General features: G+C 49.0%; 2 protein-coding genes across 59 annotated transcripts in view, besides 3 other annotated features; both read left to right on the top strand.

Moving 5' to 3' along the window:
- The window catches only part of R3HDM2 (R3H domain containing 2), a 177,378-nt gene extending 163,850 nt beyond the window's left edge, over nucleotides 1-13,528 (top strand). For all 53 annotated transcript variants that reach the window (XM_047428533.1, XM_047428528.1, NM_001351217.2 and 50 more), the window contains 6 exons: nucleotides 461-561; nucleotides 8,233-8,402; nucleotides 9,155-9,302; nucleotides 10,781-10,878; nucleotides 11,218-11,302; nucleotides 12,179-13,528. In XM_047428533.1, coding sequence (XP_047284489.1) covers nucleotides 461-561; nucleotides 8,233-8,402; nucleotides 9,155-9,302; nucleotides 10,781-10,878; nucleotides 11,218-11,302; nucleotides 12,179-12,519 — 943 coding nt within the window. In that variant the 3' untranslated portion in view covers nucleotides 12,520-13,528. The remainder of the gene's footprint in view (nucleotides 1-460; nucleotides 562-8,232; nucleotides 8,403-9,154; nucleotides 9,303-10,780; nucleotides 10,879-11,217; nucleotides 11,303-12,178) is intronic.
- Nucleotides 3,212-3,506: an enhancer, noted in NCBI's record as "tiled region #5413; HepG2 Activating non-DNase unmatched - State 12:CtcfO, and K562 Activating DNase matched - State 12:CtcfO". NCBI's record gives its function as "activates a minimal TATA promoter and a strong SV40 promoter by Sharpr-MPRA in HepG2 and K562 cells {active_cell/tissue: HepG2 | K562}" and the evidence as "EXISTENCE:reporter gene assay evidence [ECO:0000049][PMID:27701403]".
- On the top strand, nucleotides 16,105-23,834 carry STAC3 (SH3 and cysteine rich domain 3). Of its 6 annotated transcripts, none has more exons than NM_145064.3 (12): nucleotides 16,105-16,299; nucleotides 17,655-17,721; nucleotides 17,984-18,251; nucleotides 18,489-18,586; nucleotides 19,094-19,166; nucleotides 20,391-20,488; nucleotides 22,081-22,147; nucleotides 22,327-22,376; nucleotides 22,670-22,755; nucleotides 22,926-22,977; nucleotides 23,067-23,204; nucleotides 23,382-23,834. In NM_145064.3, exons 2-12 carry the CDS (start codon nucleotides 17,656-17,658, stop codon nucleotides 23,478-23,480), a joined length of 1,095 nt encoding a protein of 364 aa, NP_659501.1. In that variant the 5' UTR covers nucleotides 16,105-16,299; nucleotide 17,655; the 3' UTR covers nucleotides 23,481-23,834. The 6 variants fall into 6 exon arrangements, 5 of the variants coding, with proteins under 5 accessions (NP_659501.1, XP_011536428.1, NP_001273185.1 ...); XM_011538126.3 differs by having other exon boundaries at nucleotides 17,562-17,721; NM_001286256.2 differs by lacking the exon at nucleotides 17,655-17,721.
- Nucleotides 18,335-18,394: an enhancer, noted in NCBI's record as "active region_6534". NCBI's record gives its function as "activates an Ori minimal core promoter by ATAC-STARR-seq in GM12878 lymphoblastoid cells {active_cell/tissue: GM12878}" and the evidence as "EXISTENCE:reporter gene assay evidence [ECO:0000049][PMID:35858748]".
- Nucleotides 24,161-25,064: an enhancer, noted in NCBI's record as "OCT4-H3K4me1 hESC enhancer chr12:57636011-57636914 (GRCh37/hg19 assembly coordinates)". NCBI's record gives its function as "activates a minimal SCP1, AML or CMV promoter by ChIP-STARR-seq in primed H9 embryonic stem cells {active_cell/tissue: H9 hESC(primed)}" and the evidence as "EXISTENCE:reporter gene assay evidence [ECO:0000049][PMID:30033119]".

The raw sequence follows: 25,941 nt of genomic DNA, 5'->3' as shown, positions 1-25,941 counted from the left end.
AGCCACTGCACCCAACTGACTTTTTTTTTAGGCCAAAAATAATTAGCAATCCTTAGTTTTTGTGTTTTTTTTTTTTACCCATCTCTTTCTAGCACTCTGTGTCTGTGTCTGTGACACTCTCTTTGTCTGTGTTTCTGTTGTGTTTCTTGGAATCTGTGTGTGTGCATATGTGCATGTATGTGTGTCTGGTGTTTCCAGTGTTGGGAAGAGCATGTGTCACTAACATTCCATCTGTAGCACTGATTAGCAGCTTCCTAATTGAAAGATGATCAAGTACAAATACATATAATTAACTTTGAACTGATGAGTGATTTTAGAAATTGCATGGCAAATTGGTCTGGGAATGGCTTGAAGTTGCCTCTCCTTCCCATAGGGGAGGACCAGGAAGCAGCAGCTGTTTGCCAGGAGCTGTGTTCATCCCTCTACTGCTTCACCACTCCTCTCTTCTCTGTCTTCCCAGCCCTTCTGTAGGGTTTCTGCAACCCCCTGGCTCTGAGCAGTACCAGATGCCTCAGTCTCCCTCTCCCTGCAGTCCACCACAGATGCCACAGCAGTACTCAGGTAAGAGGATAAGGAACTGTGGGTCTTGGGCACTGACAAGAGCAAACATTGCTGAAGGGCCTGTGCTCTAGAGCTGGGAAGGGCAAAAAGAGTTCAGGTATTGGGTCTGTCCCCACTGTGACTCCATCACAAAGAAAAAACAGTCTTAGCTGGTGTTTTCCAAGGGTACTGAAGCTGACCTCTCAAGATGACACTGGGGCCAGGCACACTGGCTCACACCTGTAATCCCAACACTTTGGGAGGCCAAGGCAGGAGGATCACTTGAGCTGAGGAGTTTGAGACCAGCCTGGGCAACATAGCAAGACTTTGACTCTACTAAAAAAACTTTTTTAAAAGGCCAGGCATGGTGGCTCATGCCTGTAATCCCAGCACTTTGGGAGGCCAAGGCGGGTGGATCGCTTGAGCCCAGGAGTTTGAGACCAGCCTGGCCAACATGGTAAAACCCCATCTCTACTAAAAATACAAAAATTAGCCAGGCATGGTGGTGCACACTTGTCATCCGGCTACTTAGGAGGCTGAGGCACGAGAATCACTTGAACCTGGGAGGCAGAGGTTGCAGCTCATGCCACTGCACTCCAGCCTGGGCAACAGAGCAAGACTCCGTCTCAAAAAAAAAAAAAAAAAGAAAAATTATGGCCAGGTGCGGAGGCTCACGCCTGTAATCCCAACACTTTGGGAGGCCAAGACGGGCAGATCACCTGAGGTCAGGAGTTCAAGACCAGCCTGGCAAACATGGTGAAACCCCACTTCTATTAAAAATACAAAAATTAGCTGGGCATGGTGGCGTGCATCTGTAATCCCAGCTACTTGGGAGGCTGAGGCACAAGAAATGCTTGAACCCGGGAGACGGAGCTTGCAGTGAGCCGAGATCGCGCCACTGCACTCCAGCCTGGGCGACAAAGCGAGACTCCATCTCAAAAAAAAAAAAAAACAAGCCAAGAGTGGTGACGCACCCAGTAGTAACAGCTGCTCAGGAGTCTGAGGGGAACAATCGCTTGAGCCTGGGAGGCTGAGGCTGTAAGGAGCTGGCATCGTGCCATTGCACTCCAGCCTGGATGGACCCAGATAGGGAGTGGGACCCTGTCTCTAGGGGGAAAAAAAAAGAAATGACATTGGTTGCCTCAGCCCTGAAAAGCTATGTCTCTGCATTCTTAGTTTTCTTTGTTTTTCTTTTTTCTTTTTCTTTTCTTTTCTTTTCTTTTTTTCTTTTTTTTGTTTTCTGAATCTAGCACTATACTCACATGCCTTTGGGTCATGAAATGAAGACACAGAAGACCTGTGTCTTCTGTACTTATCCTTCATATAGACAGCATTTCTTTTCTCTTGGGAGGGTGAGGGAAGTTGATAAAACGCTTTTTAACTTAGAGCTTAGATTTGTTTAGCAGCTTTTGTTGTGTGCTCACATACATTGTAACATTTTAATTCTCACCATAACTTTGTGAGGAGGAAATTTAAAACTCAAAGAAATTAAATGACTTGCCTAAAGTCACAATCCTCTAACTTGAATTTGGGTCTTTTGACTTTCCGCATCCCATACTGAGTCTTCAACACATTTTCAACACTTTTTTTTACTCAATTTCTTTCTCTCCAGTGGAAAATAAATGGACATCATGTTACACAGCTAAGGGCCCTCTTTGGAGAGGCCAGCCATTCCAAGTTAATAAGTTTATGCCATGCAGCCTTTCACTGCCTTTGCCAAGAATTCCCCTAACACGCAAGTACAGCTGCCCTTGTTTGTATCCCTTTCACCCTACCCTCAAATAGCAATACACTGCAGTTAAAGAAACTTTAGGGGACTGTGTGCAGTGGTACACACCTGTAATCCCAGCACTTTGGGAGGCCAAGGCAGGAGAATTTCTTGAAGCCAGGAGTTCGAGACAAGCATGGGCAACAAAGCAAGACCCTATCTCTACAAAAAATTTAAAAATTAGTTGGGCATGGTGGCATGTGCTTTTAGTTCGTCCCAGCTACTTGAGAGGCTGAGGCAGGAGGATCACTTGAGCCCAGGTGTTTGAGGCTGCAGTGATCTATGATGGTGCCACTGCATCATGGTGATGTCACCCTGTCATCATGGAGAGCAAGACCCTGTCTCAAAAAAAAAAAAAAAAAATCTGGAAGGAAGTCTTTTGTTTTTTCTTTTCTTTTCTTTTCTTTTTTTTGAGACAGAGTCTTGCTCTGTCACCCAGGATGGAGTGCAGTGGTGCAATCTCGGCTCACTGCAACCTCCACCTCCCAGGTTCAAGCAGTTCTCCTCCCTCAGCCTCCTGAGTAGCTGGGACTACAGGCGCCTGCCACCATGCCTGGCTAATTTTTGTATTTTTTTTTTTTTTTTTTTTTAGTAGAGGCAGGGTTTCATCATGTTGGCCAGGCTGTTCTTGAACTCCTGACCTCAGGTGATCCGCCCGCCTCGGCCTCCCAAAGTGCTAGGATTACAGGTGTTGAGCCAGCTTCCCAGCCCAGCTGGGAAGGAAGTCTTTTTTTTTTTTTTTGAGACAGAGTCTCTCTCTGTCGCCCAGGCTGGAGTGCAGTGGCGTGATCTCGGCTCACTGCAGCCTCTGCCTCCCAGGTTCAAGCAATTCTCCTGCCTCAGCCTCCCAAGTAGCTGGGATTACAGGCACATGCCGCCACAGCTGGCTAATTTTTAAATTTTTAGTAGAGACGGCGTTCACCATGTTGGCCAGGATGGGCCTGATCTCCTGACCTCATGATCTGCCCACCTCGGCAGGAAGTCTTAATTTAGCCTCCAACCATCTCCTTTCCACTCTATCGTGGGAATGTCAGAGTGCCCTCTTCTGGTGAGAGGGAGATATTTTGTCAATTTTCCCTATTTAGAAATGGAATATTTTCACTTGAAGATTTTTTGTACGTCACTATGTTGGATGCTGTGGAGTAGATTCCAGAATTAATCTTACTCATTAGACATGATCAGTTCTTACCTTTAAGGAGCAATGACTTCCAGGCCAGGCATGGTGTCTCATGCCTGTAATCCCATCACTTTGGAAGGCCAAGGAGGGTGGATCACTTGAGGCCAGGAGTTCGAGACCAGCCAGCCTGGCCAACATGGCAAAACCCCATCTCTACTAAAAATACAAAAATTAGCTGGGCATGGGGGTGCACATCTGTAATCCCAGCTACTTGGAAGGCTGAGGCATGAGAATTGCTTGAACCCAGGAGGCAGAGGTTGCAGTGAGCCGAGATTGCGCCACTGCACTCCAGCCTGGGCAACATAGCGAGACTGTCTCAAAACAAAAAAAAAGGAGCAATGACTTCCGCCTTCATACAGGCTGAGGTTTTTAATTCAAAAGTCCTTAACTTTTATTATGTTATTGGTCTCTCTGGCTGTTTCTCCTAGTGTCTGCCAGGGGCACTTGGCCTTAAAATTTCCAGTGGGGTATAGATATTGCAGAAACCAGCTCCAAGAAGCACTGTAGCCTATGGTGGTGCTGGGTACTGCGGGGCATTTTTTCTCCTGCATGTACATGTAGGTATACTTGTATGTGCATTTTTGTGTGTATCCTTTGTGGCATGTCCTTATATCTATTGGGTCACTGTGGTTACATCTATTCATCTTCAAATGCAAGATCTTTGAACCATAAACAAATCAAGTGAAAAGAATTTTTCATTACCTACTCTGTCATACTAGGTTAATTTAAGTAAACTAAAACAACAGTTCTGGAAGTTGGCAACACTAGAAATCTGGACCAGGGTTAGAAGAAAGAGATAATTAATGTAGGCTTCCCACGTCAAAAGAAATGGAGAATCCCTCTTTATCGTCTGTTTTCCTTGCTTCTTTGGAATTTTCTCAGTTTTATCTCCTTTGTTCTTAGTTACCCTGGTTGATCCTAGGCTTCTGACTGACCCCTTGTACTTTTCCTAGATAGTGGTATCTTGTGTTCTACCCATATCATGTAAAATACTGTATTCACCATATCGATCTTATAGGTCTTTAATCCCTGTTTGTGGAAATCTAAGAGGAGGTGGAAAAAGGGAAACAAGTGCTTCTTGTGCCTCGTTTACCCTATACTGAAAAGATAGACAGCAGGCATAACCCACAAGGGCCCCTCTGTCACCTTCAGAGGACAGTTGCCTGCCCTTCTCTCATGTAGCAACATGGTCACTTTTCCAAAAATAAAGGCAGGGATTAGGATTAGCTGTTCCTGGAACAACTGTTCTGGTTTATTAATACATTTTTGTAGTTGCCCTGTTTACCCCCAGGCCTGAACTTTAATTCCTTCACTATAGTATGAGACATAACTCTAACCCCAGGAAAGACTTCTCCCATTAAAATGATGGTTGCAGGTCCCTTGAGGTTTCTACAGGGGTGCTTGTCTGGGGAAGATGCACACAGACATGAAATGGCAGTGATACCTATACAGAGACTCCCAACTCACAGTGACACAGCAGCATGGACAGAGTGAAATGCATACAGAAATAGCCTCTCACATATTTACTGGCTCATTGTTTAGCTGAGGGGTTTCCAAAGCTGAGACTGCTCTTTCGTCTTCCATTTAGTGAAGATATCCTACTCCCCCACCAAAAAAAGGAAAAATACCAAGATATTATTGGATTCTATCTTTTAATTTGGGAAAGATGCCTGTGGATTTTATTTCTCCAAACAATTCCTTTCCATAGATGTGATTTCTGGTGGTAAGAAGCCTATCAGTCTTCTACCTCAGTGATTTAAAAAAACAAAAAAACAAAAATGAAAAACAATTCTGCCAGACATAAATGTCATCTGTTTGTATTTATGCGGTTTGCTGTGCCCAATCGACCTTTCTGCCCAGGTTTAATGATGCCACTTAAAAAGCCATTCACACGTCCCCTCTCCTTTCAGAGCTTTCAAGCTGAAATTGATTTCCTTATTCAACCCCCCCTCCCACTTCCCACTGGCTGCCAACCCATGCTCCTTCCCCCAACCTGATTATATGGAAGTGCTGTCACTGGGCAGAGGGTTTTTTTTTTTTTTTTTTTTTGCCACGTCTATTAAGAAGTAGTGACAGTTCAGCTGCTAACAGATGCCACCTGCTTTGGGCTCGAGGAAGAGAAGCATAAAAATCAGCTCATCAGTGGAGTAGTGCTCTGTGTTCTCAGCTAAGTGAAGGAACAATGCTTCAGGCCAGCAGGGGAGGACTCAGTGTGGGGAGGAGCTCAGGACAGAGGCTGCAACTAAAAACCCTGGCTTTGTTTTTGTTGGGAGCAGAGATAATAATATGAGGACTTTGTTTTCTTTCCCTCTCCCTGTGACCTCCCTAATAGCTCCTTATGACTACCTGCTGGTATTAGAGCTTCCACTGCCTTGCTTATGCTTATTTCTACACACTCACCCCCTTCTCCACCTTTCCTGGCCCAGGGCATTAGGCTCAGATTATGAGCTGCTTTCTAGAAAAACAATAGATTTAATTATTCTTACATTGGACCCTCAGGTAGCAATGAGGTATTTGAATACCTTCTAGAAAAACAATAGATTTAATTATTTTTACATTAGACTCTCAAGTAGCAATGAGGTATTTGAATAAGGTCAATTGCAATTTTGTTGGTAGAGGATGTTGAAGCAGGTGAGCGATTCTTAGGATGGGGAAATAAAATACCCAGCAAAACTACAGTAAGGGGAGAGTTGTTAAATGCATGACACTCCACAACTGTGCAGTTTTCCTATGGCCCTACTACAACCTATGCCCATGAATACTCTGTCCACCTTGGCAGGAGATGGGGATATCTGAGCCTGTTGCACTGAGTATTTGTGCTCTCTGACTGGATGAACCCTAGAGGGTCAGGGGTACAAATGGTCTGGGGAATATGATATGACAGATGCTGTCTCCTGAGCTTCTCTTAGACCTCCCACCATTTCTTTTCCTTTCTTTTGACTGATACTACCTGAGAAAAACAATCACGCTCACTTCCCAGCATGACTGGTGCCCAGGGCAGAGGCTGCAACATTTCCCGTCATAGGAAGCAATTTGATGACAGCAGCAGTGGCAGCCCTGGAGCATCGAGCCATGAAAACAGCAGCATTGCAGCAGGTTTTCAAGCTAGTAACCCCAAATTTCCCATTTCTCCACCACCACCCACGTGTGAACTCAGCCTCAACAGGAATATAGCCTGGGAGGTCAGGAATAAACCCTCACTCTAGACAATCCCTTGCGGGGAAGCAGAGCTCCAGCCCATCCCTCCCAGCAGGGACTGTCCATCAAACTGCTTGACCCTGACTCTTTACCTTGCTTTTCACCATGAAGATTTAGGTCTTAATGTTCCTCCTTATTAAGGCTTTCCCTTCTCCCACCCTGTGGGAGGATGAGTCTATCCATGGTTGCCAGTGCCAAAACCTCAAAGTCGCATTCAGTCAGTCACCTGAACCTGTCAGTGTAACCTTCAGAGGGTCTGACTTTCACTCCATTCCTGCTGGCATTGCCCTAATTTCAAATCTCTTCATTCTGTTTCAGCAGGCTTTTTTTTTTTTTTTTTTTTTTGAGGCAGGGTCTCATTCTGTCACCCAGTCTGGAGTGCAATGGCATAATCACGGCTCACTGCAGCCTCGACCTCCCAGGCTCAAGTGATCCTCTCACCTCAGCCTCCTGAGCTGCTGAGACTACAGGTGCTTGCCACCATGCCCAGCTCATTTTTGTATTTTCTGTAGAGATGGGGTTTCACCATGTTTCCCAGGCTACTCTTGAACTCCTGGGCTCAATCAGTCCACCTGCCTCGGCTTCCCAAAGTGCCGGGATTACAGCCATGAGCCACTGTGCCCGACCTTCAGTAGCTTCCTGACTGGTCTTTCTTGCTGCTGGTCTCTCTCCCTAGCTATCCTACATTTGGCCGTTTGAGTTAGCTCTCCAAAGCATAGGTCTCCCAACACCTACAGGATAAAGTCCAAACATCTTACCAGAATATGCTTCAAACTCTGACACCAACTATTTGTTTAATGTCTGACTCTTTAATAGACTGTCCATTCTATCAGGGCAGGGACAGCCTTGTTTTTTGTACACTCAGTGCCCAACATAGGAACTAGCACATAGCAAATGTTCAATAAGAGTTTGTTAAATAAACGTGTCTCATCTCCTACTGCTTCCCCTATATGGCCCCTGTGTCTTAGCACCTTGAATCATTTGTCAGTTCCTGAATATGACATACATCTCCATGCTTAAATGCTTAAAATGCTTCCCAGCTTACCCCATTCTTGGCCAAGATGTACTTTCTGGGTCTGGCATAGTGAAACTATGTGGATTTATCTTCTCCAGAACAACCAGAGGTCACTGCCTTATCTATAGCCATTACCAGAAAAGCCTGCACGTGTCTGCAGCCCTGGCCTGTGGCCCAGACCTGGACCCGTACCATGCCTAGACATTTGAGCAATCTGACCTGGGCATTTGGTTATAGCCAGCGTTGACAGAATGGAGTAGTTTTCTGCCAAGCATACCAAAGTACCCCTCACCAGGTGAAGGCCAGGGGAGCACTGGCATCTGGGGCTCATATCCCTTCCACTCAAACTTCTACTGGTTTGAGAAGATGGAGTCAGAAGCCACATCAGCAGCCATCTCAGGTTCCTGGCAAGACGTAGCTTGAGTGACCCTGAGGCAATGGGTGGATTTATTTGCTGCTTTCCCACTCAGGGCTAGTTGGAAGGCAAAAATACAGTTGGAATTTGTAACCAACTGCTTTCTTCCTGCCCTTCAGGAGTGTCACCTTCTGGACCAGGTGTAGTGGTCATGCAGCTGAATGTCCCTAATGGACCCCAGCCCCCTCAGAACCCATCCATGGTCCAGTGGAGTCATTGTAAATACTACAGCATGGACCAGCGGGGGCAGAAGCCTGGAGACCTGTACAGTCCTGACAGCAGCCCCCAGGTGAGTGCAGCACTCAGCCTTGTCTTGGCAAGGAGATGACCGTATTCTTCCCGGGGCGCAATGTTTGCTATTGACTGAGCAGCCTCTTTTACATGTCTTTTCCTGGGTACTTTCTGGGGAGAAACACAGGAAGTAGACAGCATCCTCTTTTAAGGAACCTAATATATAAGGTGGCAGGTGGGATACACACTTGAAAATGCTCAGAGAATACTTAAATCAATATGCCAGAAATGGATATTAAAATAACATAAATGGGCCAGGCATGGTGGCGCACACCGGTAATCCCAGCACTTTGGGAGGACAAGGCGGGAGGATCACTTGAGGTCAGGAGTTTGAGACCAACGTGGTGATACCCCGTCTCTACTGAAAATAAAAAAATTAGCCAGGCGTGATGGTGGGCACCTGTAATCCCAGCTACTCAGAAGGCTGAGGCAGGAGAATTGCTTGAACCCAGGAGGTGTAGGTTGCAGTGAGCCAAGATTGCACCACTGCACTCCAGCCTGTCTGGGTGATAGAGCAAGACTCCATCTCAAAATAAATAAATAAATAAATAAATAAATAAATAAATAAATAAATAAAATAGCATAAATGAATTAAGGACTGAGGTTGCAGTTTGAAGGAAGAGTCTGACTTTGGCAGAGTTCAGCAAGAGAAACTTATTTCCTGAGAGAGGTGAATTTTAAGCCAAGCCATAGGAATATCCAGAGGGTAATGTTTGATGTTTATGTGACGTGTGCTCCTCTTTTCCACAGGCCAACACACAAATGAGCAGCAGCCCTGTCACATCTCCTACCCAGTCTCCAGCACCCTCTCCTGTCACCAGCCTCAGCAGTGTCTGCACAGGACTCAGTCCCCTGCCTGTCCTCACACAGTTCCCCCGGCCTGGGGGTCCAGCACAGGGTAGGGGGTTAGATTAGTGCTGGCTGCTATGGAATTCACCTTTCACATCCCATTCCCAATTGCAGAGATTGAAAGAGTAACAACAGGCAGAGGACCAGTGTAGATGATCCAATTCTGGGAGTTAACTCTTCCTTTAACATCCCTGTATAGGCCTTGGACACTTGCCCCTCTCTAGTGCTGTCCATGCTTAACTTTCTTTAGCCTTCTTTACATACTTAGTACTTACAACCAAGTAGGTAAAAAGAGCTGGAGAAAATAAGTTCACTGAACTTTCTAATGACCAAAGAGTTTAACCTAATATCAGTACCAAGTCTGAGGGCTGGGAATGTGGGATTTTGTAAGAAACGGTATGGTCTTAGAAAAGGAACCACTAGATTTGGTTTCAGAAGTTCCAGTCTCACCACTAACTAGCTTTGTGATGTTCAACAAGTTACTTAAACTCAGAAGTAGACCTCACTTCCTAGTCTGTAAAATGGGGTTAATCACACATAAGATGGGAATTTTATCTGCTTTCTGCCTTAGCTGTCACAAGCAGTATAAAAATGAGAATGTAGTTTAAAAACTTTAAAGTGCTCTGAAATGTAATATTTATCAATAATAGGTAACACTTAATGGTACTTAATATGTACCAGGCATTGCTATAAATGCTTTACATGTCTTATATTTGTTTAACCTTTCCAGCAACATTAATGAGGGAAAAAAATACCCAACGTTAGATCATATTTCCAGTAACAGAGCCACTATTTTAACCCAGGCAGTCTGGCTCCACGACTATGCTCTTGTCTACTGTGCTTATACTGCCTCTCACATGAGTCAGAAACTTGAACCCTGGGTTTAGGGGTTGGGAGAATCTATATAAGAGATAAAAGACAGCCGGGCGCAGTGGCTAACGCTTGTAATCCCAGCACTTTGGGAGCCCGGGGCAGGCGGATCACCTGAGGTCAGGAGTTCAAGACTGCCTGGCCAACGTGGTGAAACCCCATCTCTACTAAAAATACAAAAAAAAATTAGCCAGGCGTGGTGGCACATGCTTGTAATCCCAGCTACTCGGGAGGCTGAAGCAGGAGAATCGCTTCCCAGGAGGCAGAGGTTGCAGTGAGCCGAGATCATGCCATTGCACTCCAGCCTGGGTGGCGAGTGAAACTCTGTCTCAAAAAAAAAAAAAAAGAGAGATAAAAGACATTCATAAGGGTCTGTAAGTTTCTTCCCTGGTCATTTTCATAGGACTGTTGTCTACAGTGGATAGAGCCTTTCTTCAAGGATGATGGGACCTAGTAGTCCCATTTATCTGTGAGACACAGTTGAGAGCCAAAGGATTTAGGAAGAGAAACAACTCTTATACCAGTCGCATGGGCATTTCCATCATAGAAAATTAGGAATAGTATGCATTGTTGCTGTCTCCAAAGCCCCTTGAAGTCTTATAAAAGTCATACTATGAAGCTTAAGCTCCCAGAAAACCAATTGCTCTTACTCCCTAGGTGATGGGCGCTACTCCCTTTTGGGCCAGCCATTACAGTACAATCTGTCCATCTGCCCTCCCTTGCTCCATGGCCAGTCAACTTACACGGTGCACCAGGTAAGGGTGTCCACCAGCAACTGTAGGGCCATCAGACCCCTCTTCTTATTTGGGTGCCTGTGTCTGAGCTTCAACCAGCTGGGTATACAAGGGAAATAACACAGAATGAACAAAGCAGGAGCCTTGCCCTACCTCCTATACTCATGTCTCCCACCCGACCCCCATGCCAAGAGGGAGGGGCTCTTTGTTTCTCAGTCGCTGCTCCATGGCCAACCTGACTGCCTAGTGGGGTGGGGTCCTCTGGGTTGGTGCTACTCCACAATCTCTCAGGCAGACATTCTGATGCAAGGCAGTCAATGTTGTTTACATGGGATGAGAGTCGTCTTTCAAATGTTGAAGGGACAGAGTGGACTGAAGCATGGAAACCGGGGCAAGAGACAAGCACTCAAATCTGCCTCCACTGACCTGGGGACAGCAGATGTTGGTGAGTCACGGGATGCTGAATCCCCAAGAGAAGGTGCCCACCCTTCCAGCGCTTAATTACCAGTCCAGCATGGGTGGGAAAAGCCAGCTTAGGATGGGGAGTGGAAGTGGGACCCTTTGTGCTCAAAAGCAAGCAGAAACTGGAGAAGTGAAGTATCTCAGTCCTCCCTACCAAGCCATCTCAGATTCTGAGGAAGATCATGGTAAAAAGTGGGAATAACACAATTATGGGAGTTGCCTCTTATTAACAAAGAGTTTTCTAATTAGTGTCCTGTCCCTAATCTACGACATCTACCTTTGGTAGTCCTAGACCCAGTTTAGGAGAAGATTGGTAGAGAATATGGGGGAGAAACTCTCGTCCTACAAGCCTCCCACTAGGTGAACAAGATCTGTCTTGGGATTTGGAGCAATTTCCTAAACAAGGAAAGGAAGGGAAACTTGACTTCCTGAGATGATAAGAAGGAAGAATCTATTTGAGCCAGCCTCTGAGTGGGAAGGGAACTATGGAACATATTTCAGATTGATACATTATTGTTAAAGAACATTAGCAAAAGCCACATTTTCTTCATAGCAGTAGCACCTTGTGAGAGAACTGAGGTATAGGTTCTTAGCTCAGAAACCCAGGATTCTGATTCCCTGTCCCTTCTTTCCTGTATCTCTGGGCTAGGAGAATAGAAAGGTTCATTTGTTTTTCTCCTAGTTGCCCTGATCAGAGCTGGGATGGTGGGGAGGGGAAGAAAGGGCTAAGAGAGAAAGGCCAGGCTTTTGAAGACATTGTATACAGACTTAGTCAGCTGGACACTTCTCTGCTGGGCTGCTGTCAAGTCCTTCCTGTCCTATTCCTCTCACAACCATGTCCTCTCTCCTCCCCTTCCAGTCCTGGGGCGGGTGCTGGAGGTGACAGATCTCCCTGAGGGCATCACCCGTACTGAGGCGGACAAACTCTTCACGCAGCTCGCCATGTCTGGCGCCAAGATCCAGTGGCTCAAGGATGCTCAGGGGCTGCCTGGAGGGGGTGGGGGGGACAACAGTGGGACTGCTGAGAATGGCCGCCACTCGGACCTCGCTGCCTTGTACACCATTGTGGCTGTGTTCCCCAGCCCCCTGGCTGCCCAAAATGCCTCCCTTCGTCTCAACAACTCCGTGAGTCGCTTCAAACTTCGAATGGCCAAAAAGAACTATGACCTGAGGATCCTGGAGCGAGCCAGCTCCCAATAAATGGAGGAGGGGAAAGGGACTGTCACAGAAGGAGCAAGGGCAGGGTGGAGGGGGTTGAAGGATCCTGACAGACCATGGACAGAGGCAGGAAGTAAGGAAACTGATGTTAAACTGGAACCTAAGACAGTGATGAAGATGGAAACACAGATACCTACACTGGCATTGGACTCCTTCTTGCTCCCCTGCCATGGGTCCTCTCTTTTTCCCTGGTTGACCCCCCTTGCATCACTCTTCTTCCCATCCTCTTCTTTTTTTTTTTTTTTTTTTTTTTGAGACGGAGTTTCGCTCTTGTCACCCCAGCTGGAGTGCAGTAGCACGATCTTGGCTAACTGCAACCTCCAGCTCCTGGGTTCAGGTGATTCTCCTGCCTCAGCCTCCCAAGTAGCTGGCACTACAGACACGCGCCACCATGCCCGGCTAATTTTTGTATTTTTAGTAGAGACGGAGTTTCACCATGTTGGCCAGGCTGGCCTCAAACTCCTGACCTCAGGTGATCCACCTGCCTTGGCCTTCCAGAGTGCTGGGATTACAGGCGTGAGCCACTGTGCCTGGCTTCCATCCTCTTCTATCATTTTTTTAAATCTCTTCTCCTATCATAAAATTAATTTCTCATTTTTTGGTCAGGTAGAATTGGGAAAGTCCCACACTGTCCTCCTATTACCTTAACATCCCAAGCTTCCTTTCCTTTTTTGGTCTTTATGAATATATTTATATGGACAGAATTAAGATAAACAAAATTGATTGCCCCATTCTCTCACTTCCCCATCTTGTCTTCCTAGACCCCACAGAGTTAAAACTTGGGATTCCCCTGGCCCCCCCAGAACACTTGTATATTGTTTGTTTGAGGTTCGTGCCGCAGTAACAGACACAGTATTTAATTGCACATACAGATGTTTGCTGGGTATATTCACTGTAAATTTTATTTAATCTGTTTTTTTGTTTGTTTGGGGGTTATTTGGGGGGAGGTTGGTTTTGTTTTTAAATATAAAAAAAAAAATCTGTCACTGGACATCAGTCACTGTTTCTCTGTTGCCGCCCTGGTATGGGTAAAGGGTTGGAGGCCCTGGGTAGGTATAGCCCTACAGCTGTTGGAGGTGTTTGTCGTGGGTTGGGATGGCTTTCTCTAGCATACGCACACTATTTTAACACCATTCCCTCTGTCTCATCCTCTTCCCTGTACACGGTTCTGATAGATGGCTAGATCTCTAATGGGACCATGGCTTTGGGCTCTCCCGGTTCTGCCACTGTGGTTCATCGAGCATATCACTTCTCAACTCTGGATCTGTGTCCAGATCAGTAAAATAAGAGACTTGGACTTAGTAGGTGACCTCTAGGTTTCCTTCCAGACTATTAATTCTGTGGTACTGTGTACTCATTTAGGGCCCTTGTAGTTGAGTTTTGAGATAGGGTCTTGCTCTGTCACCCAGGCTGGAGTGCAGTGGCAGATCTCAGCTGACTGCAGCCGCCTCCCGTGTTCAAGCGATTCTTGTGCCTCAGTCTCCCGAGTAGCTGGGATTACAGGCGCGATCTAGCATGCCTGGCTAATCTTTTTTTTTTTTTTTTTTGCTATTTTTGGCAGAGACAGGGTTTTACCATGTTGCCCAGGCTGGTCTTGAACTCCTGGGCTCAAGTGATCTCCCGCCTTGGCCTCCTAAAGTGCTGGGATTACAGGCATGAGCCACCACTCCCAGCCCAGCTCGTCTTCTGAAAACCCTTTAGGGATGGAGAACTTGGGCCTTTCTTTTTTTTTTTTTTTTGAGATGGAGTCTCGCCCTGTTGCCCAGGCTGGAGTGCAGTGGCGCGATATCTCGGCTCACTGCAACCTCCACCTCCCGAGTTCAAGCAGTTCTCCTGCCTCAGCCTCCTGAGTAGCTGTGCCCCATCGTGCCCAGCTAATTTTTGTATTTTTAGTTGACATGGGGTTTCACCATGTTGGCCAGGCTGGTCTCGAACTCCTGACCTTGTGATCCACCCGCCTCGGCCTTCCAAAGTGCTGTGATTACAGGCGTGAGCCACCGTGCCTGGCTGCCTTTCTTTAATCCTAAAGCTGGAGGATTGGGTTTTACCTGTCAGGGACAGAAGCAGATTTTTATTACAATGAAAGCTACAGCAACTGAACTCGCAGTGCCAAGATGCTGTATTATCCAAACATGCTCAGCAGTCCCTGTCCTATGTGGCTGAAAAAAGACGAAGAGCAGAAGTCATCTTGCCTGCAAGATGGAGCTTTTCCTTTAGAGCATCTCAAAGCAAGCCCTGTTGTTCTGCAGCCTGTCAGAGCAGGGCCATTAAAGAACCTGCAGAGTCAGAACCATCCTGCACCCCCTTTTCAAACTCCCCCCTTAAATAGAAAAAAGTAGTGGGTGAGAATGACAAAGCACGTTGCCCTGGAAATCTCTTGGGTCCAAGTAGCTGTATCCCTAACGACGATCCTACAGGAGCTTGCCTGACCCAGTCTCCAACACAGTCCTTTATTTCTTACAGATACAAGGAATAGAGCAGCACTGCATTGCCACCTCTAAATTGCTCTCCCCTGAGATGGGAGTATCTCCTCTTTCATCCATGTCACAGCCCAAAGAGTAGAAGGGTGCACCCCTGTGAGATGAGAATGGCATCTGTCTCTTTGATCCATCAGTTATATACTGAGGCATCAAAGGTGGGAGATGGAATCAGGGAATCAAAAGGGTTTAGGAAGTGTGAGGGTTGGCCATCCTACCTTTAAGAGTTTGCAGTTCTCATGAGGAAGGGGACATTACTTAGAAATGATTTAAAAAATTCCTTATGTGGCAGCTATATGCTTCTGTCCAGTGTTAACTGGCCCTTTTTAATAGCCCTGGTAATTCCCTTCAGTCTGAGGACAAAATTTTACAAGAAGGAGGGTGGGGAGATGTCTCTGGGAGCTGCTGGAGGGAATGAAGCAATACTACATATTCTTCACTTTCTTACAGGATAGCAAAGTACTCCTCCAACCACCTACAGATAAAAAGCAATCTAGCCATGCACGGTGGCTCACACCTGTAATCCTAGCACTTTGGGAGGCCAAGGCAGGCGGATCACCTGAGGTCAGGGGTTCGAGACCAGCCTGGCCAACATGGTGAAACCCCATCTGTACTAAAAATACAAAAATTACCTTGGCGTGGTGGTGGGCGCCTGTAATCCCAGCTACTTAGGAGGCTGAGGCAGGAGAATCGCTTGAACCTGGGAGGTTGCAGTGAGCCCGGATCGCTTCATTGCACTCCAGCCTGGGCAACAAGAGCAAGACTCTGTCTCAAAAAAAAAAAAAAAAAAGCCATCTAGTATGGCTGATAGGAGAGCTCTATGAGTTCAAATTAGTCTTTTTTTACCCTGTCTCAAAAAATAAATGAAAAATAAAAATAAACTCCCCTTAAATGTTAAATGAGCATGAACAGAAACTGTCCCTTCCTGAATTCAGCCATTATTCACCTGTTCGCCTTAGATGAAGAATCAAGGAACAGCAGCTCTAGGGGGTTGGGAGGAGTTAGGGTCCGGCCCTGCCCCAGACCTCTCAGTGTCCAATTTCTCTGTGTCAGCTGTGTTTCTCAGCTGTCCACTTTCCTCCAGCCCTGTCATTTCAGCCCTGACACCAAGGCAGGAGGCTAGGAGGTCTACAAATAGCGACTGGGTAGCTGGTGTGAACACAGGGGGTACTGGGGGGGCTTAGCCCCCAAGGAAGAGGACCAGTTTTTCCCCAGCACCACCATCAAGGCCTCGAGGCTCCCAGCTCCCTCTACAGCCTGTGGACTGACTTAGGGAATCCCGAACGTAAGTTACCTCTTCATCCTCTTGATTTCCACGACTGCTCACCCCAGCTGCCCTGATCTATAATCTACTCAGCTTCTTCATTTCTCTCCTTGTCTGTGAGTCTTTTGGGTTTTAGGCGTAAAATTATTATTCTACTCTAGGATGAGTTTGGATTGAAGCGGGGGGTGGGGGTGGGGGTGGGGTGAAGGGAATGAAGTAGTAAGGGAAGGAAAGGCTCATATTACCCTGAAAACTTAAAATAGCTGAGCCCTGAGGCAGGCTGGGACAGAACTAGGCACAGGGCCCCCAGGGCTCAAGAAAAAAGTAGGGGAGGACAAATGTCTCCAGTCCATCCTTCCTTGTGTGCACACGAGGACACACATTAAACCTCTTGAAGAGAGGAGATCTGGGAAGGTATGCATCACATCTCTGTTGCCCACAGATTTCCAGGAGAAACAAAGTACCTATAGGAAAATGACGTAAACCACGCAGCTTTGAACACTGTGTAAGGGCTGTAAACTATGGGGTCGCCCCTCAGGATGGAAGGATGAGTATCAGTTTGAGGAACTAATTGGGAAGCTCTTTAGTCTGTTGGGCTTTTTTTTTTTTTTTTTTTTTTTTTTTGAGACGAAGTCTTGCTCTGTCACCCAGGCTGGAGGGCAGTGGCACAATCCCGGCTCACTGCAACCTCCGCCTCCCGGGTTCAAGCGATTATCCTTCCTCAGCTTCCTGAGTGGATGGGATTACAGGCGTCCGCCACCACACCCGGCTAATTTTTATATATTTAGTAGAGATGGGGTTTCACCATGTTGGCCAGGCTAGTCTTGAACTCCTGATCTCTAGTGATCCGCCTGCCTCAGCCTCCCAAAGTGCTGGGATTACAGGCATGCACCACCACACCCGGCCATGTTAAGCTTTTTTCTAGACCTCCATGAAATCTGTTAATAAAACCTGCCAAAGGATCTGTATTTGGCCCAGTGCAGTGGCTCACGCCTGTCTCAACAATTTGGGAGGTTGAAACAGGAAGATTGCTTGAGCTAGTTCGGGACCAGCCTAGGCAACAAAGCAAGACCATGTCTCTACAAAAAATAAAAAAGTAGCCAGGTAGTGTGCACCTTGTGTTCCAGCTACTCAGGAAGCTGAGGTAGGGGGATCGCTTCAGGCTGGGAGGTCGAGGCTGCAGTGAGCCATGATCACGCCACTGCACTCCAGCCTGGGTGACAGAGTGAGACCCCATCTCAACAGTAACAACAGCAAAATCTCTCATCACATTTCTCCGAAAGCCTCCCCTTTGAGGACCACCCTACTGCAAGGGACAGAAAGGGAGAGAAGAATGAAAGGGATTAGATTTCATAGTGGGGTCCAACCTCTTGCAGGATGACAGAAAAGGAGGTGCTGGAGTCCCCTAAGCCCTCCTTCCCAGCAGAGACTCGGCAAAGTGGGGTGAGTCTGGGCCTCTGACCACTGGGTGTGGGGGGCTGGGAAGCCATTACAGCTGAAGAAGAGTGCTTAAATTGATCTCATTTGTGTGTGACTCATTTTTTGCTGGCCAGCACCTGCAGTCCCCAATACCAATACCCCCCTAATCCTGGGGTACATTCCTTGCCTGAAACTAGAAAACTGTCTAGTTTGCTCTAGCGCCCCCCTACTCTAGAGAGGGTGACAAGTCCTTTTAACATTGGGTTTTCTTCACTCCCTCCCTCAGCTACAGCGGCTAAAGCAGTTACTCAGGAAGGGTTCTACAGGGACAAAGGAGATGGAACTTCCCCCAGAGCCCCAGGCCAATGGGGAGGCAGTGGGAGCTGGGGGTGGGCCCATCTACTACATCTATGAGGAAGAGGAAGAGGAAGAAGAGGAGGAGGAGGAGCCACCCCCAGAACCTCCTAAGCTGGTCAACGATAAGCCCCACAAATTCAAAGATCACTTCTTCAAGAAGCCAAAGTTCTGTGATGTCTGTGCCCGGATGATTGTTCGTGAGTCATGAAGGGAAGTGAAGAGAGTATGATATTGAAGGCAGAGGTTTGGGGAGAGGGCATAGGAGAGGAGTATTTGTAGCAGATGGGCTGTGGCTAGAGTTGGTGTAAGGCAATGCTATTAGAGATTGAGCAAGTAGGGTCCCAGACAGAAAAGGAAACCTAAGAGTAGCAGCAGTGGTACAAAGGGAAAGGGCAATCTGGAACCTTATCTGAATTTTCTCCCCCTTTCCCAAGTCAACAACAAGTTTGGGCTTCGCTGTAAGAACTGCAAAACCAACATCCATGAACACTGTCAGTCCTATGTGGAAATGCAGAGATGCTTCGGCAAGATCGTGAGTAGGCTGTGGAGAGCAAGGAGGGGACATGGCCACGCGTGGTGGCTCACGCCTGTAATCCCAGCACTTTGGGAGGCTGAGGTGGGCGGATCACGAGGTCAGGAGATCGAGACCATCCTGGCTAACACAGTGAAACCCCGTCTCTAAATACAAAAAATTAGCCGGGCGTGGTGACAGGTGCCTGTAGTCCCAGCTACTCAGGAGGCTGAGGCAGGAGAATGGCGTAAACTCGGGAGGCGGAGCTTGCAGTGAGCCGAGATTGTGCCACTGCACTCCAGCCTGGGTGACAGAGCGAGACTCCGTCTCAAAAAAAAAAAAAAAAAAAGAGGGGACATGTCACCAGCCAGCTACCCCTTGCTGGTCTCTCCTCCATCCCATTCATTTCTCTGCTTTTTCTTTCTCAGCCCATCTCTTTTTCTGAGAAAGGGTGAGCACTCCTGGGAGAGATAGGCTTCTGGACCTTACTTTGCTACCTCTAATGCTTCCTCTCATCCCATCCTACAGCCACCTGGTTTCCATCGGGCCTATAGTTCCCCACTCTACAGCAACCAGCAGTACGCTTGTGTCAAAGATCTCTGTAAGTGCCCTTTATGGAACATGAGGGAATGGGCAAGCCTAGAGATGGTTTCATGCCATCTCTAGCTTTGGGAGCCAAATTCTGAAACAGAAACTTTCTGTTTCCCATAATTCTCCCTCAACCTCACATTTTTATATCCATTTGGATGCAGAGGCAATATCCCCATTTTACAGCAGAGGGAGATACGATTTAGTTGCAACTACATACAGTTAGCAAGAGGTAGAGCCAAGACTGGAATCTTCAGTTGCTAGCTTCAGAATCTGTGCTCTTTGTGTGCAAAATCATTTCTAAGCAAGAACAAGGATTCTAGATTGTCCTCATCCTTACTACAGAGTCATATCAGACTCGGGGCAAGACCCAAAGGCTGCAGGCACCCTGGGCAGGTTCATAATTTGGCAACCCAGGCCGGGCGCGGTGGCTCACGTTTGTAATCCCAGCACTTTGGGAGGCCGAGGCGGGTGGATCACGAGGTCAGGAGATCGAGACCACGGTGAAACCCCGTCTCTACTAAAAACACACAAAAATTAGCCGGGCGTGGTGGCAGGCGCCTGTAGTCCCAGCTACTCGGAGAGGCTGAGGCAGGAGAATGGCATGAACCCGGGAGGCGGAGCTTGCAGTGAGCCGAGATTGTGCCACTGTACTCCAGCCTGGGTGACAGAGCGAGACTCCGTCTCAAAAAAAAAAAAAAAAAAAAAAATAATAATAATAATAATAATAATAATTTGGCAACCCTTAAAAACATATTCATTGACAAATTTGCTCAACATTTATTTGGAGGAGAGGCTGAACTCTGTGAAGAGCATGGGTGAAAAAGAAGAACCTATTGGTGGCAGCACCTCAGCTTACACATGCCATTTAGCAGAACAAAAGCCAGCAGTTAAGGGCCCATTCTCCTTAGAAGGAGAATAGTGATTCTGCGCATGTCTCAGCTCCCAAGCAAGCAAAGTTGTGTTTCAAACATCATATAATGCTCTGCCTGGAAGGAGTTCTAATAAATACTTTCCTCCCTCACTTTACATCACCAGTGATGTTTTTAAAGTCCTTTATAGATTGGTGTCCTGGGTATTGCCTAGCTGACCCTTCCCTAATCTTCCCCGCGGCGCCCCCACCGCCACCCAACACACACATGGGTATCCATCTACTCAATCCCACCTCTCCCTTCCTTTCCTCCAAGCCTTTCTCTGCCTTCCCAATAATGTCTTCTTTCTCCTCCCATTCGATTAGCTGCTGCCAATCGCAATGATCCTGTGTTTGAAACCCTGCGCACTGGGGTGATCATGGCAAACAAGGAACGGAAGAAGGGACAGGCAGATAAGAAAAATGTGAGCACTGTACCTCCCCACGAGGTCCCTCCCAGAGATCCCATGGAGCAGGTCATTTTCCCATTTGGAAAGCTGACAGAAGTAATGGATTGTCTTCCCCTAAAATTGCACAAAACTCGGCCAGGCATGGTGGCTCACGCCTGTAATCCCAGCACTTTGGGAGGCCGAGGTGGGCAGATTACCTGAGGTCAGGAGTTCGAAACCTGCCTGGCCAACGTGGTGAAACCCTGTCTCTACTAAAAATACAAAAATAAAAATAAAAAATCCGGGTGTGGTGGTGCTCGCTTGTAATCCCAGCTACTTGGGAGGCTGAGGCAGGAGAATCGCTTGAACCCGGGAGGCAGAGGTTGCAGTAAGCCACTGCACTCCAGCCTGGGGGAGAAAGTGAGACCCTGTCAAGAAAAAAAAAAAAGGAAGGAAGGAAGGAAAGGAAGGAAGGAAGGGAAAAGAAAAGATAAATGTACATATCTGATCAAAAAAATCAACTGCAAAAAACAACTAGAAATCTGGCCTCAAACTTGTTGATATGGAGGTTGGACACAGATAAGGGATTTCTATGGAGTGAATTAATGACTTGTAAGGCACTAGCAATGTGATATGGCTGCTTCCAGAAGGGCTAACATACTCTTGGGTTATATTCTTTTAAGGGAATTATAAAAATTGTGCTGCTCTTTTTTTTTTTTTTTTTTTTTTTGAGATAGAGTTTCGCTCTTGTTGCCCAGGCTGGAGTGCAATGGCACGATCTCGGCTCACCGCAAACTCTGCCTCCCGGGTCCAAGCGATTATCCTGCCTCAGCCTCCCGAGTAGCTGGGATTACAGGCATGTGCCACCATGCCTGGCTAATTTTGTATTTTTAGTAGAGAGGAGATTTCTCCATGTTGGTCAGGCTGGTCTCGAACTCCCGACCTCAGGTGATCCGCCCACCTCGGCCTCCCAAAGTGCTGGGATTACAAGCATAAGCCACCGCGCCTGACCATGCTGCTCACTTTTTACTTACACACTGGAGTATTTTTAAAGGCTGACAGCATAGTCAAGGACCTGGAATCTGGTAGTGAATTCCCTGTTATTTAGCTACATTCAAGCAGAATGTGGGTGACCCACCTGATAGGATGTTTTAGGGAAAGTCCCTGCATGGCCGGGCACAGTGGGTCACGCCTGTAATCCCAGCACTTTGGGAGGCCGAGGCTGGTGGATCACGAGGTCAGGAGATTGAGATCATCCTGGCTAACACGGTGAAACCCCGTCTCTACTAAAAATACAAAAAATTAGCCGGGCGTGGTGGCAGGCGCCTGTAGTCCCAGCTACTCAGGAGGCTGTGGCAGGAGAATGGCGTGAACCTGGAGGCGGAGCTGGCACTGAGCCAAGATTGCGCCACTGCACTCCAGCCTGGGTGACGGAGGGAGACCCGTCTCAAAAAAAAAAAAAAAGTTCCTGCATTAGGCAGATGGCTGAACTAGATATTTCCTCCAAGGCCTCTTCCAACTCTGAGATCTCTGAGATCCCATTATTCTATAGTTCTCTGACCTGATTATAGACAGCCAGGGCATGTGTTCCCAAGACAGCGTCTCCCTAACTCTGGTGCCCCCTCCAGCCTGTAGCAGCCATGATGGAGGAGGAGCCAGAGTCGGCCAGACCAGAGGAAGGCAAACCCCAGGATGGTGAGTGTTACCCACCTCCATCCAGAGATGGAGTAGGATCAGAGGCTCAGCTGTGGAACAGAGGGTGGAGGAGCAAAGGGCAGGCCAGCTTTGGATAGACGAGGCCCTTCCACAAAAGGGTAAGAGAATAAGAATTGCCCTCCAGGAGACAGACAATTTGTTGGTGTTTCCTATCCCAGGAAACCCTGAAGGGGATAAGAAGGCTGAGAAGAAGACACCTGATGACAAGGTAAGAATCCTTCCTCCCTGCAAGGAACCCAGTTCTCTCCCCAACCCAGCTCTGACACCACTACTCATGGCCCTGGCAGAAGCTCACTCTTTAACTCCTAGGCTTCCCATCACTTCTGACCCACACTCTCCATCAACTTGCACACCCACCCACGACCAAAACACTTCTCTCAGTTCAGGGACCTAGAAGAGAGTTGGAGTGTAGAGTGTGTGGTGAATGTCCCTGCCTTGGAATCCTGCCCCTCAGTGTGGGGTAGAGGAGCCCTAAGACTCATCATTCCCTTGCACCCCCAGCACAAGCAGCCTGGCTTCCAGCAGTCTCATTACTTTGTGGCTCTCTATCGGTTCAAAGCCCTGGAGAAGGACGATCTGGATTTCCCGTGAGAGGCCTTGGGGCAGGGGGCTGGTACTGCGGAGTGAAGAGGAAAGAGCTGGGTTCCCCCAAGGGAAAGGAAAAGGGGGGACTCAGGGCTTGGAGCCTATTGATGCTGGACCCGGGGCACAGCAGGGGACCTGCTATGTGAGTGAGGCCCCTCCCTTCCCCTCCCAGGCCAGGAGAGAAGATCACAGTCATTGATGACTCCAATGAAGAATGGTGGCGGGTGAGAGAAATGGCTAGGGCTAGGGTGGAGTGTGGGTTGAGTCCAGAACCCGACATTGAGAGATGGACTCTCCCTACTATCTTCCCTAGGGGAAAATCGGGGAGAAGGTCGGATTTTTCCCTCCAAACTTCATCATTCGGGTCCGGGCTGGAGAACGTGTGCACCGCGTGACGAGATCCTTCGTGGGGAACCGCGAGATAGGGCAGATCACTCTCAAGAAGGACCAGGTAGGCTGTTGCCCCAACCCAATCCCAGGCCTGAATGCTCCCTAGCCCACCACACTCCTTGGAGAGCTTAACCATTAATAAGACTAGGGTGAGCCCCTGTAAACCCCGGCTCCCCTGCTGTCCTCTCCTACCTTTTCCTTTGATTCCTCTCCTACTTCTGATCCTTTAATCTTCTAGATCGTGGTGCAGAAAGGAGACGAAGCGGGCGGCTACGTCAAGGTCTACACCGGCCGCAAGGTGGGGCTGTTTCCCACCGACTTTCTAGAGGAAATTTAGGCGTGCGGGCGCCTGCAAGCGGGAGACACCCACACCCCATTCTGGGCGGGCCCAGTGGAGTTTGGGGAGGGGGGCGAAAGCAACGGGACTGCTGGGAGAGGAGGGGTAGGAAGGCCCGCCTGAGCGCGACGGGGCTTCCGGGAAGGGACTGGTTCTCGCCCCCTTCCCCAGCCTGGGGCCTCGGATACCTGCTGCCCAGAGCAGCCCGGACCCGAAACCTTTCAGGCCCCGCTTGCAAGAGCTGGAAAAAAACGCGTATCTACTAGGAGGAGCCAGGGACTGGGGCGGGGGGCGGGGGCGAGGGAGGGCGAACTGTCGAATGTTGCGAATTTATTAAACTTTTGACAAAACTTAGAAAAGTTGTTATTTAACTGGGGTTGAGGAGAGGGCCTGCGGAGGGGTGGAGAATCCTCCCTAGCTGTCCCGCCTCGTTACCATCGGGTAACCTGAGACCCATCTGGGCTGAGGTTGGCGGGAGGTGGGAAGTGCGCCCGCCAGGTGAGGCCTCTGTAGTCAGTAAAGAAAGGGGAGCGCAGGGCTGGAGTCGCCGCCCCCGCGCCCCAGCGGTTGGGAGCAGGATCTTGTAGTAGGGTAAGTCCCCCCTTGCTCTTGGCGATTTAGCCGCAGGCAGCCCCTTGCATTTCGGAATCTGGCTTGGCGCCGAGCTAGGCCGCCAGGGGGCGATGCAAGATCTCGGTTGGAGAGCGAGGGATGGGGAGGGGGTGGAGGGTGGGTAAGGGGAGACAACCAGAGACACCAAGCCCGAGACCCTGGGCCTGGGAGGGGGTGGGGTGCGTGCCGTCTCCATGGCAACACTTCCTCAAGTCCTCCGAGAACCGAGCTAGCTAGGCCGGGGGCCTAACCCCACCCGCGCGGCCCCTGCCCTAACCCTTTCCGACAGGTACCGAGTGAGAACGGAGGGCAGACAGCTAACCGGCTCTCGCGGAGACACCCCTGCGGAGCACCGTATGCAAATGTTATTATTTGCATATGCAAATATGCAAATACGCCGGCCCTGGTCAGGGCGGCAGGTGGCGAGGAGCAGGAAGGTGTGGGGAAGGGAGCAGAAGGAGACGAGGAGTTTGGGGACCTGAGAGCGGACCCAGTGAGAGGCAGGCTGGGGTGGTCGCTGGAGTGGGGCAGGCGTGTGTGGGGGGGGTCTTGAGCTCGATGCCGGGTGGGGGAGGGTCGGCTTGGCCAGCCAGGAGCTCCTCTTCTCGTCTGCCCGTTGTCTGCCAGGACCGAGGTTGGCACCGCCTAGCAAGGTTGGCAGCGGGAGCCCGGGCACCATCTGCTGCTGGCGGGGGGAGGGCAGAGGCTCAGCTGGGCTGGGGAAGAGGAGGCCTGGGACGGGCGCGCCCCCCTTCCAGAAGGCTGAGGTGTGATGGGGGTAGGGAAGCACACAAGAAGACTCTGCAGAACCGGGTTCAGTTTTCTGTTCCCTTTGCCCTTGACGGTCCCGGATGCCTGAGGGGGTGGGGGCGGAGTCATTAAAGAAGACCCCCCCCTTTAATCGCGATTGAGCTGGAATAGGAACAGATCACAGGCAAACACACACACCAACCACACGCAAATCAAGCATTCTGTCCTTATCCTTCCTTGAAATCCACCTACCAGGAATGTATGAGGGGAGGGACCGCGAGGGCTCGGGTCGTCTCTATTCATCAAGGTCTGAGGGACTCAAAATCAGAGCCCCCCGAGATCCTCGAGAGACCCCCGCCAATGCTAAGGCAAAACCAATTTACTGGCTCATTGGGCGGCAATGCTGGTGTGCGGATGCCGAGAAGCAGGGAGAGCGGCTGTTCTCCCCCAACACTCGGGGGGCGCCCCCCTCCCTAGCCTCACTGAGCCGGCAGCTGTCCCTAATTAGAGCGGCGGTTTAATTGGATTTATCAGCAGTTAATAGGAAATTAAGCAAAGGGCCCGAGAGAAGGGGGGCGGGAAAAGCGGGGAAACAGGCTGTGCTGAACTAGAAGGAGGGGTGCTAGGGTACCAGGGGTGGGGACATGTGACCCAGTGTCCCGATCGAGCCCCACGGTCACACCCTCCCGTCATTACTCACCAAGACTCTTAAGCCCTGGCCCGCGGGCCGGAGAGCAGGTCCCCAGAGAGGGCGGCAGGCGTGACAGCGACCCTATGTGAGCTCCCAGCGCCCTCCATCCCCCTAAACGGCGCCTGGGTGATGGATGATACTGCCGCATGCTGCAAAGGTCATAAGTCTGGGCCAAGGAGCAGACTGAATTGAAAACAGATCCGAGGAAGGGCCGGTACTGGGGTACAAGACAACCGGCACCCCAACCTCCTCCACTGCCCACTCTACTCAGCGCGCGCGCGCGCGCACACACACACACACGTGCCCCTTGAAGTTGGAAGACTGGGCAGCACGGGGGGAAAAGGCAGAGTACAGAGTGACCCTTTCTATAAACCCCACCAGCAGCAGTGTTGGGGATCCTGAGAATCT

Source organism: Homo sapiens, chromosome 12 (genome assembly GCF_000001405.40).
Source record: "Homo sapiens chromosome 12, GRCh38.p14 Primary Assembly".
NCBI classification, from domain to species: Eukaryota; Metazoa; Chordata; class Mammalia; order Primates; family Hominidae; genus Homo; species Homo sapiens.
Note: the sequence above shows the minus strand (reverse complement) of the source record. Positions and strands in the feature narration are given on the sequence as shown.

Coding starts and splice junctions, on each gene's coding strand:
- STAC3 (NM_145064.3), top strand. CDS start 17,656: ATGACAGAAAAGGAGGTGCTGGAGTCCCCTAAGCCCTCCTTCCCAGCA. Junction 19,167..20,390: donor CGCTTGTGTCAAAGATCTCT/GTAAGTGCCCTT, acceptor CCATTCGATTAG/CTGCTGCCAATCGCAATGAT. Junction 20,489..22,080: donor GACAGGCAGATAAGAAAAAT/GTGAGCACTGTA, acceptor TGCCCCCTCCAG/CCTGTAGCAGCCATGATGGA.